At 35.6% G+C, this 18,727-nt stretch overlaps 1 protein-coding gene across 48 annotated transcripts in view, besides 1 other annotated feature; it reads left to right on the top strand.

Annotated features, from left to right (window-relative positions):
• NAB1 (NGFI-A binding protein 1) overlaps positions 1-16,736 on the top strand; it is a 43,872-nt gene extending 27,136 nt beyond the window's left edge. For 23 of the 48 annotated variants that reach the window (XM_047444447.1, XM_005246582.2, XM_047444446.1 and 20 more), the window contains 4 exons: positions 7,708-7,797; positions 9,446-9,608; positions 11,171-11,287; positions 14,215-16,736. In XM_047444447.1, coding sequence (XP_047300403.1) covers positions 7,708-7,797; positions 9,446-9,608; positions 11,171-11,287; positions 14,215-14,303 — 459 coding nt within the window. In that variant the 3' untranslated portion in view covers positions 14,304-16,736. The remainder of the gene's footprint in view (positions 1-7,707; positions 7,798-9,445; positions 9,609-11,170; positions 11,288-14,214) is intronic. The other 25 variants (XM_047444465.1, XM_047444459.1, XM_047444464.1 and 22 more) reach the window with 2 other exon arrangements.
• Positions 2,708-2,757: an enhancer, noted in NCBI's record as "active region_16864". NCBI's record gives its function as "activates an Ori minimal core promoter by ATAC-STARR-seq in GM12878 lymphoblastoid cells {active_cell/tissue: GM12878}" and the evidence as "EXISTENCE:reporter gene assay evidence [ECO:0000049][PMID:35858748]".
• Positions 16,737-18,727: the final 1,991 nt, after the last annotated feature.

The following is an 18,727-nucleotide window of genomic DNA, read 5'->3' on the forward strand; positions in this document are numbered from 1 at the left end:
CACTCCCTTAAAACTTTTCACCAAGTACTGGTGCTTTATGTCTACCTTCTATATGGCTTCTGGGGAGAGGGAGAATTTCTGGTATGAGAAGAGATCAGGGGAGACTATTGGGAAGGTGTAATTTGAGCTGGGTTTTTAAAAGAAGGGTAGAATTTCAAAAGGTAGCGATGTGGGGAGGGGATTGGGGTGGCATTATAAAGATAGACTAGCATGGGCAAAGACAGAGGTAAGAAAATACTAAGCATGTTCAGAGAACAATAAGTTTGTCTAGGGAATGTGATTGACACAAAGGACCTCATAAATAAAACTAGAAAGAATTTAGAATTCTTTTAACATACTTTTTCTCTTATTTCATTTGAGTCTTTCTCTTGTGATTCTCAGCTTGTTATTTTCTATTTAAAGAAAGTAATATACAAGACTGAGCATGGTGGCTTATGACTGTAATCCCAGCACTTTGTGAGGCTGAGGCAGATGGATTGCTTGAGTCCAGGAGTTTGAGACCAGCCTGGGCAACATGGCAAAACCCCATCCTTACAAAAATTAGCCAGGCATGATGGCATGTGCCTGTAGTCCCAGCTAATCAGGAGGCTGAGGTGGGAGAATCACTGCCCCACTGCACTCCAGCCCGGGCAACAGAGCACAACCTTGTCTCAAACAAAGGAAAAAAAGTTTTTAAGTAACGTACAAATAAACTTAAGCTTAGCCCATTTTATAGTGTAACAGATTTCTAATTACAAGGCCCAAACTAATGAGACAAGTTTTTCTCTTTTTTCAAATCTTTAAGTGTTCTAAAATCCTTTATAACAATAAGCATATGTGCCACATTGCTGGCTTTTTCCATCTTAAAAACATAATTTTTACAGGGAACAAAAAGAAATGTAATGTTGAGCAGATAAAATAAAATAACATCAAAATAATTTGACATGTAAAGGAAAGAGAAACATTTTTTTGCTTGTCATTATTAATGCATTAGGGTACACTAATACAAGTAGTGCTGTGTTCAAGCTCAGTAAGATCTTTCGTTCCTAAATACTGTGTTTTCCTGATCTATACATGAAGGCTTGGGTGGAATGAAGTTATAATTCATTGACTTGTCTGATTTTTCTACCTGGAAAGCTCTTATTTATGTAGTAGGTTGTTCCCCCTTAAAGGATAGTTACTTATTTGATTTAAAAAAAAAATAGCAGTATACACATTGCATAGAAGTAATCAAGATAATCTGTTGTCCTTAAATAGTGTTCCTCCTTACAGGGTATGTTAAACATTAAAAAACAGATTTTGAACTTTAATTCCTAGAATATATGAGATGGACATGGAGAAAAAGATCGCCTGCTAGCTTAGGTGTGCCTTAAGGAACCTACCATTTGGAATGAAATCTCTAGGGAAACGTTTCTTCAGCTAGTTAGTAAGTGAGGTTGGAATCCTTCTGCTTAGACGGAATGAATAACATGTCCACTGGAACACAGCCCTCTGTGAGTCCACTTTCAGCTGAAATGAAAATAGATTTTGTTTATTCTTACTTATCTTTTGAATTAGATCTAATTAAATCTTCTCATTCTGGGGCAATTGTAAAAATCGCTACTTTGTATTGCTTTTATTTTGTGTCAGTCCCTACTAGACATTTGGAATTCATTATCACAAACATTCTTGTCTAACCTATGTGGAGGCTTTATGATTTCCATTTTACAGCCAAGGAGAGACCCAGACAGGCTCAGTATCTTCACCTGTGTTGCCAAACTGCTATCCAGTAGCAGAGCCGGGGCTTCCTATCTATGTCTGATTCCTGAATGTCAAAGCAGTACCACCTTCCTAGGTGCTAATGATTATTCACAAAGCATCTTACCTGTGAAAAAAACACTATTGGGGTTATACCTTTCCTCCTAGTACCGTGTGAAGGGCGAAATGTGTGCAGGACTGGTAGTCTTTGAAAAGGGTGGATGGTGGCAGTTATTATTTTCTAATCCAAGAAATGTTATGTAGTAAACAGTTACAAGTTTTGAGTAGAAAATTTAACAATGTAAATTACAAAATATTTAAATATAAGAAATTTTCATTTGATATGCTGATTGTTTATGAGTAAAAACCTTGTGTTGGGAAGATACACAGAGTAAATCAGAAAAATTAGTTTGATTTCCTTATGTCCTACCTATGAAAGAACATATTTAAGGTGGCTTGACAGCTCATTCAAGGGGATGAAAAATCAAGAGCCAAAGTCCCTGGCTCTCTTGTCTTCTCCTAAATTTTTTTAAATGTTAGTTAAAAGTGAATTCAATTGGTAACCTTTCTTTTTCATTAAGAACACATTCAGTTCCATGAACAAATTTGTTATTAACTCCAATGTTATAAGTAACATCTTAGAAGGGAGGAAGGATATATAAAGCTACAGTCTCAGACCTGGTGATGGCAGCTGACTAACTGGACTGAGTGCTATTTCTCATTTGAGTTTTCTTCATTCGCTGAAATTGCTGGAGACTGGGCAGAGATGGGAAATGACAGCATTCTTGACCCTGTGGGAGTCAGAGGTGCAAAGCATTCAGAGATAAGTGGATGAAAGAAATGAGGTTTGTTAATAGAGCCCAGGAAGTCAGAGAACTGGGGCTTGAAGAAGAAAGACCTAAAGGAAACATCTGCTAGCAGTTCCAGCAAGGTGGGGGTGGGAGAGCAAGGAAGGGGGAGGAAAGAGGTTCAGAATATCCACCTACGCTGCTACTAAGCTTGTTGAAAAGAAAGCTGGTCTAATTTGACGTAGACTCTTCCCCTCTGGATCAGAAAAAACAGAAGCATTACAATATGCTATTCATACAGAAAGTGTGATTAGAAAAAAGGAAAATGCACATGTGGGGTTGAGAACATCTGCTGTAACAAGTCATCTAGAGACAGCTAAGCAGTGGCTTTAAAGCAGCTTGCTAGTGTTCGGCAGAAAGGATGAGGAGGCATGGGGATGGAGACCAATGGGATGAGAGTAATTAGGTCATGCACCAGCCTCCGTCCCATAGCTTTTATTTTCTCAGTGATCAGACCCAGAGTCTCGTCAGCAAGGAAACACTGTGATTAATGGCATCAGCCAAAAATATGACATGGAGATAGATTGCTCATAGTATGGTGCAGCTAGCTGGTGCCTGGGAAACAAGCTTACGAGACATAACGAAATTGTGCACCACACATAATGTGAAAGAGACCAGTTTCTTGGGAATGTTCTTACTTTTATTTCTAAGTCATATATTTTGGGGACCTTAAATCTACTTTATGTGACATGCAGTGATAGCTACTCGATTTTGTAGTTTTTCCATCCACAGTGAACTGTCAAGACTGTAGGAGTAAATAATGACTAATGTGCTCAGTTGCAGAGAGATCACTGATTACTTTGGATAATTGTTATTTATTACTTATTTTAGGCTTTTATTTATCTTTATTAATGGTGGAATAGTGTCCATTTTCTAGCAACTTTCACATGTAGAGTTTGAGGTTCCCCCATCCAGCTTTTTCAGTATTCTCATGGTTGAATAATCCTGACTTTAGTGCCACCAGGTATTTGTATGGCAATGTGTACTTTTCCAAGGTTCACTTATTTGCGTTACTTTATTTAATCCCCACAAACTTCCAGTGGGCAGATACACAGGTGGTGTAATCCTAATTTAAAAATTTGGATCACTGGAAATAATGAGGTTTACTTTTTTGCCTGAGATCACACAGCTGGTTCCTAATGTGAAATGCCTAGATCATACCTTTCTCCTGCAAGTTCTTCCAGAAACAGTATTGAGGCATTGGGGCTCATGGGGATTCTGATTGGTGCACTCCACTCAGATTCTGCTGATGAACTGATAACCCTCTAATCTGGGTCTCCAGCCTTGATTTTACCCCAAGCTCCAAACTCACTGCCCCTGCTTACCTGGCTTATCTACACACGGAGGTCTCACTAGCAAATGAGCTCAACCGAATTCATCAGTGTTCTGGCCCCTCCCAGACCTCGTGATCTTGAGTTCCTTATTCTAGAGAATGTCATAACCAAACTCTCAGTTGCCTTATTTCTGCGGCACCTGCCACTGTCCAGGGCTGGGCCTTCACCAGCAGCCCTCTAACCAGTGTCCCTGTCACCACCCTGAACTCCCCTCCTCCGCGTACATTCTCCCCATCACATTCACATGTGATGGGCTTTCTGAAATGCAAATCCGATCAGTCTCTTCCCTGAGACTTTCAATGGCTTCTCTTTGTATTTAAGATAAGATCTAAAATTCTTAACATAGCTTACAAGGGCTTACAGAATCTGGCCCTGTGTTTCCACCTTCCCTCACCACTCCCTCTTTTTCAGTGTATATTGAATATTTTCCGGCTTCCCAGAGTGTGCCCTGTTCTTTTTGCCTCCAGGCATCTGTACCAGCTGCTTTCTTTTGGAACTCTCAGCCTAGACACCCTGGCCTCTGGGATGCCTGCTCTGCCACAGCGCCCTCTGCTGTGCTCTGGGTCTCCGTCCATTTCCCTCCCTGGACTGTGTTGTCAGGAGCGCCTGAGGCATGGCCATCTTGTTTGACGTTGTATTCCCATATTGAGTACAGTGTATGAATCAGCTGGGTGGATGCGACATTTTTGTTGAATGTATAAACACATGTTTCTAGATTTCCAGTGTTCTTTTCACTGAGATAGTTCCCCACGAATGTGCTTAATATTCTCTGGTTGATTTTAGTATTAAATGTTGAGTTCTTCCTTCTCTAAGATGTCTGTACTTTGTAATTGTCCATAAAATTTCTCTTTTTTCCCCAGTATGATGCTTTACTCTGATTAAATCTGGTGGCTTTTTGGATGAACTTAACAGATATCAGTAACAAACATTTATCAAGTAATTCCTATGGGCCAGGCACTGTGTTAAGTATTTTTCATGAATTTTCTGCTTCCTTAAAATGATTCTGCAAGTTAAGTACTATTGTTATCCCCATTTTATAGATGAGAAAATAGACACAGAGAGATGAAATAATCTACCCAGTATCACAGCAAATAAGTAGTAGAGTTGGGTTTTGAACTCTGCAAGTCATATAGTTAAAGCCCGTCCAGCTTATGAAAAACAGAGCTATAATTTCTGTTTATAGAAATGCCTGTGTTTTTGTGAGTTTCATAAAGGTAGTAACTCTGAATTTATGGACTGAGCATAGGCTTTGAAGCTAGCGTTGTAGCTGTAAAAAAAAGGAAACCCAGTCTTGTCTGTGATGAAGATTAAATGAAATAATGAACATAAAATATAGAACATAGGGACTGGTATATTGTAGACCCCTGGAAAATGATAACCGCTTATATTGAAGTTGTTCTAACTCTTCTACTAGCTTACCTCACTGAACTTGAGAACTTAAGCAGTTCCAGTGGGGTGGGGGTTTGCTAAAGAGAAAGTTGGATTTTTCAGTCTAAATAGAAAACTTATTTATAAGAAAACTGGAATGGCTAAGAAAAAGGGAACTTTGGATTTAGCTTGGACTGTATACACTTATATGAAGTTCATTTTAGCTTATTTTATGATTATGTTCCATACACATCTGTGAGCCAACATGGAAACCTAGAAGAGTGGCTATTTTCAACACTTCAAAAGTGCTAATTACATACTGGCCCATGATAAAGCTACATAGGACCATCTTAAGACGTTAAGTTTATTAGCTCTTGGCTCTATATCATGTCTTTGAATTTTAAAAATAGCAAATTAGTTATTACTTGGGGAATGTATTTTGATAGATAAAATATTTGAAAGAAATCTGCAGTGGAGAAATAATTTATTGAAAAGACCCTGATGGGGGAAAATTTTTGAACCACTATCTTATATCCCAAATAAGGTAAAATATTTTGTTATTATTACATTATTCCATCTTTTTCTGCTGTGTATTGTAAGAACTTTGGTTTTTAAGGATTTGCCCTCTGCTGCAAATATATAGCTTATCAAAGAAGGGGAGAAATAATGTTTTGGAGTTTAATTGTAAATGCTAATTTCTGTGAGGAGTCCTTTAGGAGGTTTCACTAAAGTTACTAAAACCATGCTGTCATGATATTTTGTAGTTATAATGATCATGAGCAATAAACAGTCAAAAAAAGAAAACCTTGAAAAAAGTAGGTGGAATACCAAGTATAAAATGGAAGTAATTTAAGTTGAAGTTTTATCCAGTGCCCCCAGATAGGCCCTATTTATTATGGGAATTTAGTATGTATTGATATACTTACTTATTTAGTAATTATTACATGCTGAAGGCATTATCTCACTTGCTTTATCTCATTTGGTCCTCACAACAATCCTAATAGATAGGTTCTCCTATCCTCAATTTTCCTGTGAGGAAACTGAAGTTCAGAAAGGTTAAGTTACTCATCCGGTGGTCACATAGCTAGTGAGTGGTGACAGGCCTTTCGAATTCCAAAGCTCCATTTCCTGTCATAGGTTATGATAAAGGTGAAATCGCAAGCCAACATGAAGGAATCCTTGAGCAATTCAGGTTGGGATTATCGGTTAGCACTTTAAAGAACATTTAGTTTGGATCGTTAGCCACATTTCATGTAACAAAATTAATTTCAGATAGGTCAGAGGGTTAAATTTAAAAAACAAATCAAACTTTTAGAAAAATTAGAGGGTAGATTTAAGTACTGAACCAAATTTCTGAAGCAGAATTTCTCTAAACTTTATAGCAACAGTTGAAATCACAAAATAAAAGTATGTACAACTATAGCATATAAAACAGGCATATAAAAATTAAATGATTTTTGAGTATCAAAAGTATAGATAAATTGGCATAAATTAAGAAAACAAGAATTCTTAGTGCTGACAAGGAAATTGTCATGTATTGCTTGTGGTATGATAAACTAGTAAAGGCCCTCTATAGGTTTAGCGAAAGTACATAAGGCACAAAAATATCATCTCTGCAGTAATTCTGCTTCTGGGAATCTTTTGTAGTAGATAATCTAAGCTATCGAAAATGCTATCTCCATGAAAATATTTTTGCAGTGTTTTTCATAAAACCAAAAATTAGGAAAAGAATAAAAAATGTCCAATGCGAGGATAGTGGCTAATCAAACCCCCCACTAGGTTAAATGTTTTTTATGTGTTTTGTTTTTGTTTTTGTTTTTTTGAGACAGAATCTCACTTTATCACCCTTTGTCACCCAGGCTGGAGTGCAGTGGTGCAGTCTCGGCTCACTGCAACCTCCGCCTCCTGGGTTCAAGCGATTCTCATGCTTCAGCCTCCCAAGTAGCTGCCCAGCCTCCCTAGTAGCTGTGATTTCTGGCGTGTGCTACCACTCCCAGCTAATTTTTTTTTTTTTTTTTTTTTTTTTTTTAGTAGAGATGGGGCTTTACCATATTGGACAGGCTGGTCTCGAACTCCTGACCTCAGGTGATCTGCCCACCTTGGCCTCCCAAAGTGCTGGGATTACAGGCGTGAGCCACTGCACCCAGCCTAGGTGAAATGTTATATAACCGTTATTATCAATGATCATAAAGCCTTCTTTCCAGTGTAAAACAATAGGAATGATGACATTTTTCATCTTATTTATGTTTCTACTGAGGTTACAGCTGTAGAAAATAATGTATGTTTCATAAAAGGCTGAAATGAAATATTTTATAACCATTAAAATCTTAATCATGATTATTCAGGTAGTGAGATTAAGAGTTTGCTTTATTTTCAAGTTTTTGATAATATTTTATTATTTACAAACTCTAAATATAAAGGACTTCTTATTTGACCCACAGGATGGGTTTCCAGATTTCCAGGATTCTGTGCAAACACTCTTCCAGCAGGCTAGAGCTAAGAGTGAAGAACTTGCAGCTCTTAGTTCACAGGTAACATAAACTCCCAGTTATTACTCCATGATAGTATCTGAAGGTTAAAAAATAAATGACTACTTCAACTAGCTTCAGTTTTAAGTATCTGAGGCCTGACTTTTTATTTCCGTTTGTTTTTTAAAACGTCATCTGAGCCACAGCTGTATCAACATGAGAGCAATAACAACTTGGTTTGATTCAGTTTATGAACGGAATCTGATATGGTGCTACTTATTTATTCTTGTAGTTTTGTAGGAAGTGAGACAGATTCTCTGCTCAAGAAAACTTAAACAGTTTGATAATCAGGAAAACCAGCCATGTTGACCATGGCTGTGTGTAATGCAACTCTGAGATAAAATAATACTAGTTCTCAATAAAATATTAATAGTCAACATTGTAATTATTGTTAAATCTTTTAAATTCATATTTATTGAAAAACTATTAAATGAATATGTGGCTTCAGGTGCTTTTGCCATTAAGTTATTTAATTTTGTCTGTATACTGAAATTAAAATTTTAAAATGCTTTCTGCAAACATCATCTTTTAGAAAGCACTGTAAACTTTTATTCCTATTGAACAGCTTCTTTGTAATAAGTTGCTTTTGATCAAATTTAGTACTGCTAAGTTTTGTTTTTTTCATGTTAGGATGAAAAATACATTTTTTACCTCAGATATGCTTATTTAAATTTTGTCAATTTAGTAACAAGTTCAAATGAAATGAAGTTGTAGTTACTTTTGATTTGGTTTATATGCACTCAGAAAAATAGTGTGTTTATCATGTTTATTCTGTGAATTAATATATTTTACCTACTGATTTTTACATTGTGAATCAGGGCATTTTGTAACCAATTTTATATAGCAGCTTTCTTGTCCTACTCTCTTATATAGCATGGTAGTGATTCATATCTGTGCATTTTGACTATTATCTCCTTGGCAAAATACCACAAATACACTGCTCTGAATATCACATATAAGTAATTTAGAGCAGTGCATTGAAAAGGAACTTATAAAACACATACAGAGATAAATTTATATGTCAGTTGACTAATTGTATATTTAAAATATGCCTTTTTATGATTGGTTGGGAAATACTGCAGTTTCATTTCATGATGAAGGTAAAGATGCTTATTGGCACTGATGTTTTTCTGCATAATTTACATTGTTTAATTTTAGTGGGAAGTGTATTTGTCTTGTTCTTCTAGACAGCCGTTTTACACCTTTTCTCCCCCAAACATATTGTCATCATATCAGAGTCTGTGTACTGCCAGATCCTAAAATAAAAATGCCAAGATTTCGCCCCAAGTGTTAGAAGTAGTTTATAGCAGATGTTGCTGTTGCTTTTAGATTTCTGTTTTAAAAAATCCTTTAAAGGACTTAGTACCTTGGAAAACAAAGCTAAGGTTATGTTGCTTTTGAGCTGACATGGAATTCTCTTGAAAGAATTGAGAAGAAAGCTTTTATCTTTTGTACAATATCCAGCCTTTTATGTTTTAACATGATGATATAGACATCTATGCATATTTATGGAATTTGTATACCACATGAAGTGTGAACTAATTTTAATGAATACTAAATATATTTGCTGGAGTCTGAAATTGGCATCTTTAAACCATTAAAAAATCTAGAATGTTTCAGTTACTGATTTGATTTTTGCTTTACTTACTAGCAGCCTGAAAAGGTGATGGCAAAGCAGATGGAGTTCCTTTGCAACCAAGCTGGCTATGAGAGACTGCAGCATGCCGAGAGGAGGTTGTCTGCAGGGCTTTACAGGCAGAGCTCAGAAGAGCACAGTCCTAACGGCTTGACTTCCGATAACTCAGATGGACAAGGTACATCTTTAGAATATCCTATGCCTTTAGGGCCACTATGTGCACTTCAAAGAGAAACAGAAGACAGTGGCTGATTTTTAAATTATGATATTTTGTAGAGATTATTTTACAGGTTCTCTTATCAAAATTATTTTTTGAATTCTTCATTTTTCTAAAAAGATAATTTATCCTGCAAATTTTAATTTGTAAATTTTTTAATCTTTAAGCAGTTGGCACCTGAGATTGACATGTATTATTTTGTAGGGGTTGGTGGGAATGTGAGATGTCAACAGTACAGATTATTTTCCCCGAAGAAGCAGATTCCGGGAGAGATGTTTATCCTTTTTAAATGACCAAAACTTCATATTTTTTTAGACTTCAAAAACAAGTTTGTGAAATTTACAGCATTTGGTTCTTAAAAGAATATGGTGACTGCATCTAAAGTGTTATGACAGAGTACAGCTCAGGTTTAGAAAGCCATGTGATTCGTGAGTGTTTTTACCATTCTAAAAAGTACTTCATTCTTTTCACATCCTCACATAAAGAAAATCCCAAGTCATTGTTATTCACCCAACCAACAGGCATTTTATTTTTTTAGCAATTCCTATGTGCCAGGCACTCTCCTAGGCACTGAAGATGCAGCAGGGAACAAATCCCTGTTTACCTGGAGCTTACATGTAGTGGAGGGAGATGTACAGGTTATATATCCTCTAGTTTCAAATAGTAATAAGTGTTTGAAGAAAAAAAATAATTTTATAGTGCCTCCTTTTTATATATTATTGTTATACTTTTCTAGAGAGTGGTTATTATTGTAAAAAAATAAAAGGATTCCTAGGTAAGGATACCATCTTAACAAGGATTCTCCAGCCATGGACTGAAATATTACATGTGTCAACACATCAGAGTACTGGAAGAGAAGAAAGTTCTTCCTTTTAAAAATATTACAGGAACCTCTGAGTTGAGGTCTTGTTTAACTTCTCCAATTATCCTTAACAGTTAAGAAGCAAAGGCAATTATTAAAGATTTGGTGACTCTAATTTGTGACACCAGGATAATTCAGTGTGGGGTGACAATTTGCTAATGTGATGGATTTCAGTACATGACAACATGATTGGGTGTATAATTTTTTCCCATATTTGTGCTAAATCTGTTTTTTCACGGATTTTGCTGTAGTTTTTTTTTTTTAATCTTTAATTGGCTTGAAGCCTTCTGTGTCTTTCTAGTACTTGTTATTATATGATTAATGACATGCCTTGGTAAAATGGTTGTTCTAGTAAGAAAATGCCTTATAGAGGAGATGTATTATATGCCAAAACTGGAATGCTCACAGGAATTCTCAGTCTTTTGTTTAGCTCTTAAAAATATCCTGGCAGAATTGTAAACCTTGGGACTGGCATGAAATGACTTGCCATTTTCCTCTTAAATTATTATTTAAAATGTTTTTTCCAAGTCTTATTTAAATTCTTCAGTGCTCGTTGACTCTCCTCACTTTTTTCCTAAGGAGTGTTCAGGCAAAATTTATTTTTAAGAAAAACCATGGTATGTTTTTAATATTATGCATATTTCTTTTTTCTTTTCATTAGGAGAAAGACCTTTGAATCTCCGAATGCCTAATTTACAGAACAGACAACCCCATCATTTTGTGGTGGATGGGGAGCTGAGCAGACTTTACCCCAGTGAGGCAAAGTCCCACTCATCAGGTGAGAACGTGCTATATGATGAGAGGGTAACACTTGAATAAAAGCATCTTTAAATTCTGTTCTATTTCCTCCCCCATCAAAAAAAAAAAAAAAAAAAAAAAAGTCATTACTGACAGTGTTCCTACAGGTTGAGTATCCCTAACTGGAAAATTCGAAATGCTTCAGGATCCAAAATGTTTTGAGTGTCAGAATGACACTCAAAGGAAACCCGCATTAGAACATTTCAGATTTGGGATGCTGAACCTTTGGTGTAATGCAAATAGTCCAAAATCTGAAAAAGCTCAAAATCCATAGCACTTCCTGGTCCCAGGCATTTTGGATAAGGGATGCTCAATTGTCAGTTTTTCTCCCCTTGGAAGTGGTAGATTGCCATAACACTGGCTGCTCTCACTAGTCTTTTTGCAAACTTCATATTCCGAACAATGACAGGGAAAACTCATGAAAGTTGAGATTACTTTGATTAGCCATTATATGAATGGTGATGTTTATATGAAAGTTTAATAATAAATAGCTGGTTTGAGTTGTGTTACTACCTTTTTTGGCAATAACATAATATGAAATTGATGGACTACATGTTTGCTTTGACAGTGAGAAAACCTTGTGTATCAAAATCTAGACTTTTCATGCAGATGTATTTTGGAGGTGATACTCATATTTCAGAAGTAAACTGAATTCCATAAAAGGATGAGCAGCTCCTTATCATAGTTAGATATTTACATATTTTTATCCAAGTAAAGTGAGTTAGACCTAGTTAAAGCATTAGAGACCAGCACAATTTGAAAGAATCTGTTATCATTCAAGTCTTTGAGTTAAAGTAACTTTAGGAGTCACTTAATCAACGTCACTGATTTTATAGATGAGGTAGCTAAAGCCAAATAAATAGCTCCAAATTTGCATTGTAAGTCAGCGGGAAATGTAGTTTTACAAGCATTAGGATTAAACCTGACTTTACATCTGTTATCTAGATAGAATGAATTATGTATTTACTAGAAAAAAAGTGTTATCAAGAGCATTTATGTCTTTCAATTTTAGATCATACTCTTGGTAGCAGATGCTAAAAAGACGAGTTCTAAATAATGTTCTGGTACTGTGACTTTAAAGCATGCTATTGCATACTTGATTGTAGCCATTTTAATAATGTCAAAGGGAGGTTGGGAAATTGAAATTATCCTAAAAAGATGACATCCTGGTCTCATGTTTTCCATAACACAAAAAAAGTGATCTTTAAAGTTTTTTCAAAAACGAACAAAAAACGACTTTTTACCAATTTATATTCCTTAGAAGACTCTATGTAACAGGAATACTCCAATTACATTGATCATGTGTCTCATCATGGGGCATATTTACATATTTCATGGAGATATATTACATAGAGATATAATTGATCTAGGTTTTTAGGTAGAACCGAATGAAGAAATGCCTGAAAAAGCGTCTTTCTTTCTCTTTTTCTTTCTTTCTTCCTTTCCTTTCTTTCCTTCCTTTCTTTCCTTTCTTTTCTTTCCTTTCTTTCTTTTCTTTTCTTCCTTTCTTTTCTTTTTTTGAGATGGAGTCTCGCTTTCTCGCCCAGGCTGGAGTGCAGTGGCTCAGTCTCGGCTCACTCCAGCTCCTCCTCCCGGGTTTACGCCATTCTCCTGCCTCAGCCTCCCGAGTAGCTAGGACTACAAGTGCCCGCCACTGCACCTGGCTAATTTTTTGTATTTTTAGTAGAGACGGGGTTTTACCGTGGTCTCAATCTCCTGACCTTGTGATCCGCCCGCCTCGGCCCCACAAAGTGCTGGGATTACAGGTGTGAGCCACTGTGCCCGGCCACCTTATTCTTTATTTTTAACTGAATAGGAATAATACAGGTTTCATACAGTGCAAGCCTGGGTCCAGATCTTAGCACCGATACTTGACTGAGTGACCCTGACTGAGTTACTTAAGTACTCGTCCTTCAGTTGCTTCATTGGTAAAAGAGAAGTAATTTCTACCTCGTAGGGTAGTTAGGAGGATTAAACAAGATAGTGTACCTGCATCGTACACTATCTATTCCAGCCAGCAGGAATTCAATAAATAGTAGCTACTTTTTTTTACTACTCTTACGCGGAACTTAAAATCCCCTTCTGTTTAGATAGAGAGGATTCATAAATTGAGCTATTTAATTTCAGATAAGCTATTAGTATTGATTACTTTCTAGAATCCAAGGTGTGAGTGTATGTGATGTGGATGTTTGCATGTATATGTGTGTGTACATATCTCCCAGTATTTGTACTTTACATAAAGGTTACATTTGATTGTTATTCTGTAGTGTTTGTGTATGGTTGAAATAACTGTACACATAGAACTCCATGGAATGATTTCTCATGAAAATAGTGTTCATTATTTTATCCCTATTTCCCCTACCTTAATATGTCATTGTCGGAAGAACTTTAAAAAATAGTTCCAAGGTTATGAAGATATTTTTCAGTCTGATTCCTTCATTGATGGTAAATATTTTAACCAGTAACAGTTATTTATGAATAATCAGCTTCCTTTTATATATTTATCATGTTGGATCAAGCATTAAATAAAAATTAATATATTCTATATGCTAAATGTTTTATGTGCATTTCATTATTTAACTTTCGTGCCACTTTATGTAGATACTATTCCTATTTTATAAATGAAGACATTAAGGCTTAGAGAGGTGTATAACTTGCCCAGAGATGTATACATCTATACATATATGTATACTATATGTATACATCTAGTAATTGGCAGAGTTGAAATTTAAATCCAGAATCCAAGCTCTTAACAGCTCTATGAACAAAAATTTTGCATGGAATTACAGAATCATGAATAGTTGATACTATTTGATATGGAGTTTGGGGGTTTGTTTTAAAACTTTGTTTGATTTTTGTAGTCCATTGATTAAAATATCAACTCACTTTGTTTCCATTTTTATGTAGAGAGCCTTGGGATTTTAAAAGACTACCCTCATTCAGCTTTTACCTTAGAAAAGAAAGTCATCAAAACAGAGCCTGAAGATTCAAGATAGCTGTGATTTCTCTCACCGTTCTCTGGAAATGGCATCAGATTTAAGGATAATACTCCATCATAGAAATAAGCCTTAATAACCAGTGTTGCCTCATTCAGCTCAAACAGATTTCATAGCCAAAGCAAAAGGACTGGTACGGTAGTCTGTGGAAACCAGGAAGATAAAACAACAGCCACAAAAGAGAAAATCAAGAGTGTTGCAATCTATAACAGTAATATTGATTCATTCACATTCCTGTGTTAAGTCATTTTATATGGAAAGGCTTACAAATCAATATTGTAAGCATTCATTATTTAAGAATGTACAATGTATTTGTGTAATTTATAGAAGTAAAATCTAGATGTTGAGACCTGTTTGGTCTAATAGATGTGGATACAGTTTATTTTACTTGAAATTTTGTTGTCTACTTTGTGTGTTTAACGTAAATATATGTCAGAGTTTAGAATCTGCCTGCAGTTGTGAAAAAGAAAGCTTAAGTGATGCAGTTATTGGCAAGATTGCAATGATTATGGAAAAATAGAAAGCGAATACTCAGTTTAAGCCAAGGAAAATATTGTGGATTTAATATTTGATAAAACTGATTTTGTTTAACAGGAAATTTTTAGCATTCAGTCATATAACATCTGGTTATCAATGCACGTTTACACAATAAATACTTGAGTGGAGGAAAGTTAAAAAGATGAGCAATAGAGTAGAAAATATATCTTAAACTAGTTGACCTAGATTGTATTAATAGCTACTTAAGATGTTTCAAAGATAGGAAGCTATTGCTTGGACAGAGAACTTGAAATAAGTGGACCCATGTATAAAAGCTTTGACTTAAACATTGATATTTCAGAATGTGTTAAATAGATTAAGACACAGTAAGTTAACCCTACATGTTATAAAGATGGCGACTGTTAACAAAGGCTGTAACAGATTAAGTACTATTTTATATCCAGAAAGTCTTCTCTATGTAGAGAAGTCAGAGAGACTAGATGCTTTCACTAGGGAATGTCTTCCCACCCAGCCATCACAAATGTGGACAATCACTGCATCCACATCTGTAGGCATATTTCTATGGAAGTTTAATTGACAGCTATATTCATTATTTATTTTACAATTTCATTTTTCTACACCTTTGAGATTTATGAATGCAGTTTTTTCTTAAAATTTATTTTAACTTGACAGTATGTTTTTAGTTCCCCCAATTTAATTAATGGACCATGTGCATATATATGGGAGTGTGCTTACATGTTAATAATTTACTTGCATACTTATGAGAATTTCACATTGGAATTCATAATGGTAAAACAACATACATCTGCCAATATACGTTTTTTCTGTTGGTTTAAGAGAAGATAACTGACAGCTTTACCTACTTCCTACAGATGCATCTAAACCCAGATATTACTGAGAAGAGTGTATTGACTCTGAGTGTAAGAGAGTATGTGTTTTTTTGTTTTTAGTTCTGCTCTAGATCATAATTGTAAAAAATATTAAGTCATAATCTGTTACACTAAAATTTGTCAGCCAAATGTTAGATGAAATGTCTGCACTGTAGTCTCAGATCACTGTCACGTATATAAATTGCTTCTTCATTTTAATTTGTAGAAGTACTTTACAGTAGGAAACGCCAGTAAACAACTTTTATACTGTTAAAAGGCTTTTTTCCCCTTCCTAAATGTTTTAATTGTACCATAGTGTTTTGCTCACTGAAGAAGCTTCTTATGGACCTTGCAACTTTGTTGCTAGCTTGAGGTTGATTATTGTGGTTGTATTGTTCACTGTGTGTAGAAATAGTATGAGTACGATTTCAATAGACTGTTCAGTTTTTAATATTAGCCATAGCACTGGTTAGTATATCTCAGTAGTTTCATGAAACGTTTCCTGTATTCTAATCTATTTTGAAACATTTTGTTTTTTTTTAATTGTGTCTTACAGTCAAGTTTGTAGATTTTCATAAGCCACAATTTTAAAAGATGCAGTAATCTTCCAACTTCCAATATTTATCCATTCGTTGTGGACCCACAGATTGCATCTTTAAATTCATAATAAGTTTCCTTAACTATCTTATGTTTCTAGTCTTTCAAGCTTAGTGATAAGGTGGAAGCACAAGAAAAATTTCAGTAGAATACAGTTTTTATTTTGTAAACACTAATGTATTAAACTTGCTATACATTAAAGCAAATAATATATATTTTTATTTGAATTGTATATGTGAATTGGAAGTTATAATTAGTTGATTTTTTCATTTTGTTAGAGGTATTTTCACTGAACAAGGTCAATTGGTTACCTCAGTATTACAGCCAATATAGTCCAAGGGACCATTTCTCCCCGAGTCTCTTACACTTTATTGTGCGATGTCCACGTTTTTGTGACTCTTCAAGCTGTTGGTGAGGTGGGACGAATGCACTTGCTTCCTGTGGCAATAAAGATTTTCTGTGCCTCACACATTTATGTTTATAGCATTTTCTACATAGAAGTTTTCCAGTGACTAATATTAACCCACTCTACCTCGCTTATCTGCTTATTTAAGCTGGGTTTCAGTATTAAGGGACAAGAACTTACGTCTTAGGTTGGGACTAAATATTGTCAGCTACCGTCATTTCTAAAAAATGATTTGGTAAACAGGTTCTCAGTAGACTCTTGTCTGGCAGAGAGAGGTCAATTTATATTCTCATTTATGTAGAAGTTTATGAAGACGTTTTTAAAACTTCACCATTTCTAAATATTAATAAAAGGAACATTAGGATTTAACATCTATAATACATATATGTATAATATTAATGTGATTTGGGTTCAGTGTTATGGGTTAATTATATGAAATTGAGCTAACCTGTAGTAAAGAACCAGGAAGAACCTTTCAGCAAGTATTGATGAGTTCTATAGATTAATGAAGATCATCAGTGTGCCAAGCACTGTGCTAGGTGCCAGGGAAGAGGTAAAGGTCACAAACGAAATATATGATCCTTGCCCAAAACCTAGCTGCGTAGGAACTAATACCACTCACATAAAAATTTCAGTGCCTTACATATTGGGATGAGGAGCTGACATTTAAGTGCATTCTGTATTAGGCAGACATTGTGGTAGCAGGCACTTCACAGGTGAGAGAAAGCACATTCAGTGAGTGAGATTCAGAAGAGATCGGTCAGGACTGAAATCAACATTCAGAGGTGGAGTTTGATAAAAAGCCATAGTGGCAGTACATTTCACTTTGAGGCTGCTTTTTTGTTGTTGTTTTTGTTGTTGTTGTTGTTAAATTACTGCAATTTTATTTTGAAACTGCATGGCAGTTAGATCTGCTTGCCTGGGTAATCATTCCTTTGACGATCCACTAAATCTGTCAAAAGGCAGCGGGGAAAGGTGCTTTTCATCTGTCCTTAATTAGTGAAACCACTTGGGTAAAAGCTTTAGGATTTGGTAATTATGAGACTACTAGCACCTAGTGTACCTTTACAACTATAGTTGACACTATTTAAGACTTAAAAGCTAAATAAGTATGCAGGGAATTTCCTAACTTATGGTCTGTCCACTTGGGTCTCAAAATAGTTAAGTATTATTAACACAATGCCCATTTTGCTTGTGACTTAATGTACTACATCAAGTCTTCAAAAGAAAACCAAGGTATTAACCAACCTGATGAAGCCAGAAGGTCTGCCTCTTTTAGGAAATCAATTCAATTAGTAAGTAGCTGAAGTTAGAATTGAACAAACCTTGTATGTTTGTAACAGCTTGAATGACCAAATACAGTAGTTGCTCTTTTACTAAAAGCCACCATATGGTCCAGCTGTGCATGGGTGGTGTTTCAGGGAATGCAAGCTTCTTATCTGTGGGTGTCCTCATAAATGAAATTTGTAAGTAGGCCTCCAAAGTTAATAAGAGAATGATCCAGTGCCTGACATTTTTATTGTAAATACAATTTAATATCAAAAATCTTACTGTTAACTATGTCCATAGTGATCCTGTAAGACAATTTTTTATTTCATGTAGAAGTGATCAAAAGCAAAATGCTGGAGCTAGGATTTTTCTTACTTTCTGAGTATGCAACAGTTAAACCTTTAAAACATCTTTGGGAGGCTGAGGCGGGCAGATCACGAGGTCAGGAGGTCGAGACCATCCTGGCTAACACGGTGAAACCCCATCTCTACTAAAAAAAAAAAAATAGAAAAAAATTAGCCAGGCATGGTGGCGGGCGCCCGTAGTCCCAACTACACGGGAGGGTGAGGCAGGAGAATGGCGTGAAGTCGGGAGGCGGAGCTTGGAGTGAGCCGAGATCATGCCACTGCACTCCAGCCTGGGCGACAGTGCAAAACTCCGTCTCAAAAAAAAAAATCTTTGGCATCTGTTTCTGCTGACCTATGACATTTTTTTTTTTGTGATCACCTCAAAGGTGTTTTTTTTGTGCAGAAAAGCCTAATCAGAAATTTATTTTTTAAGTTCAT

The sequence above is a fragment of the Homo sapiens genome, chromosome 2 (assembly GCF_000001405.40).
Source record: "Homo sapiens chromosome 2, GRCh38.p14 Primary Assembly".
NCBI classification, from domain to species: Eukaryota; Metazoa; Chordata; class Mammalia; order Primates; family Hominidae; genus Homo; species Homo sapiens.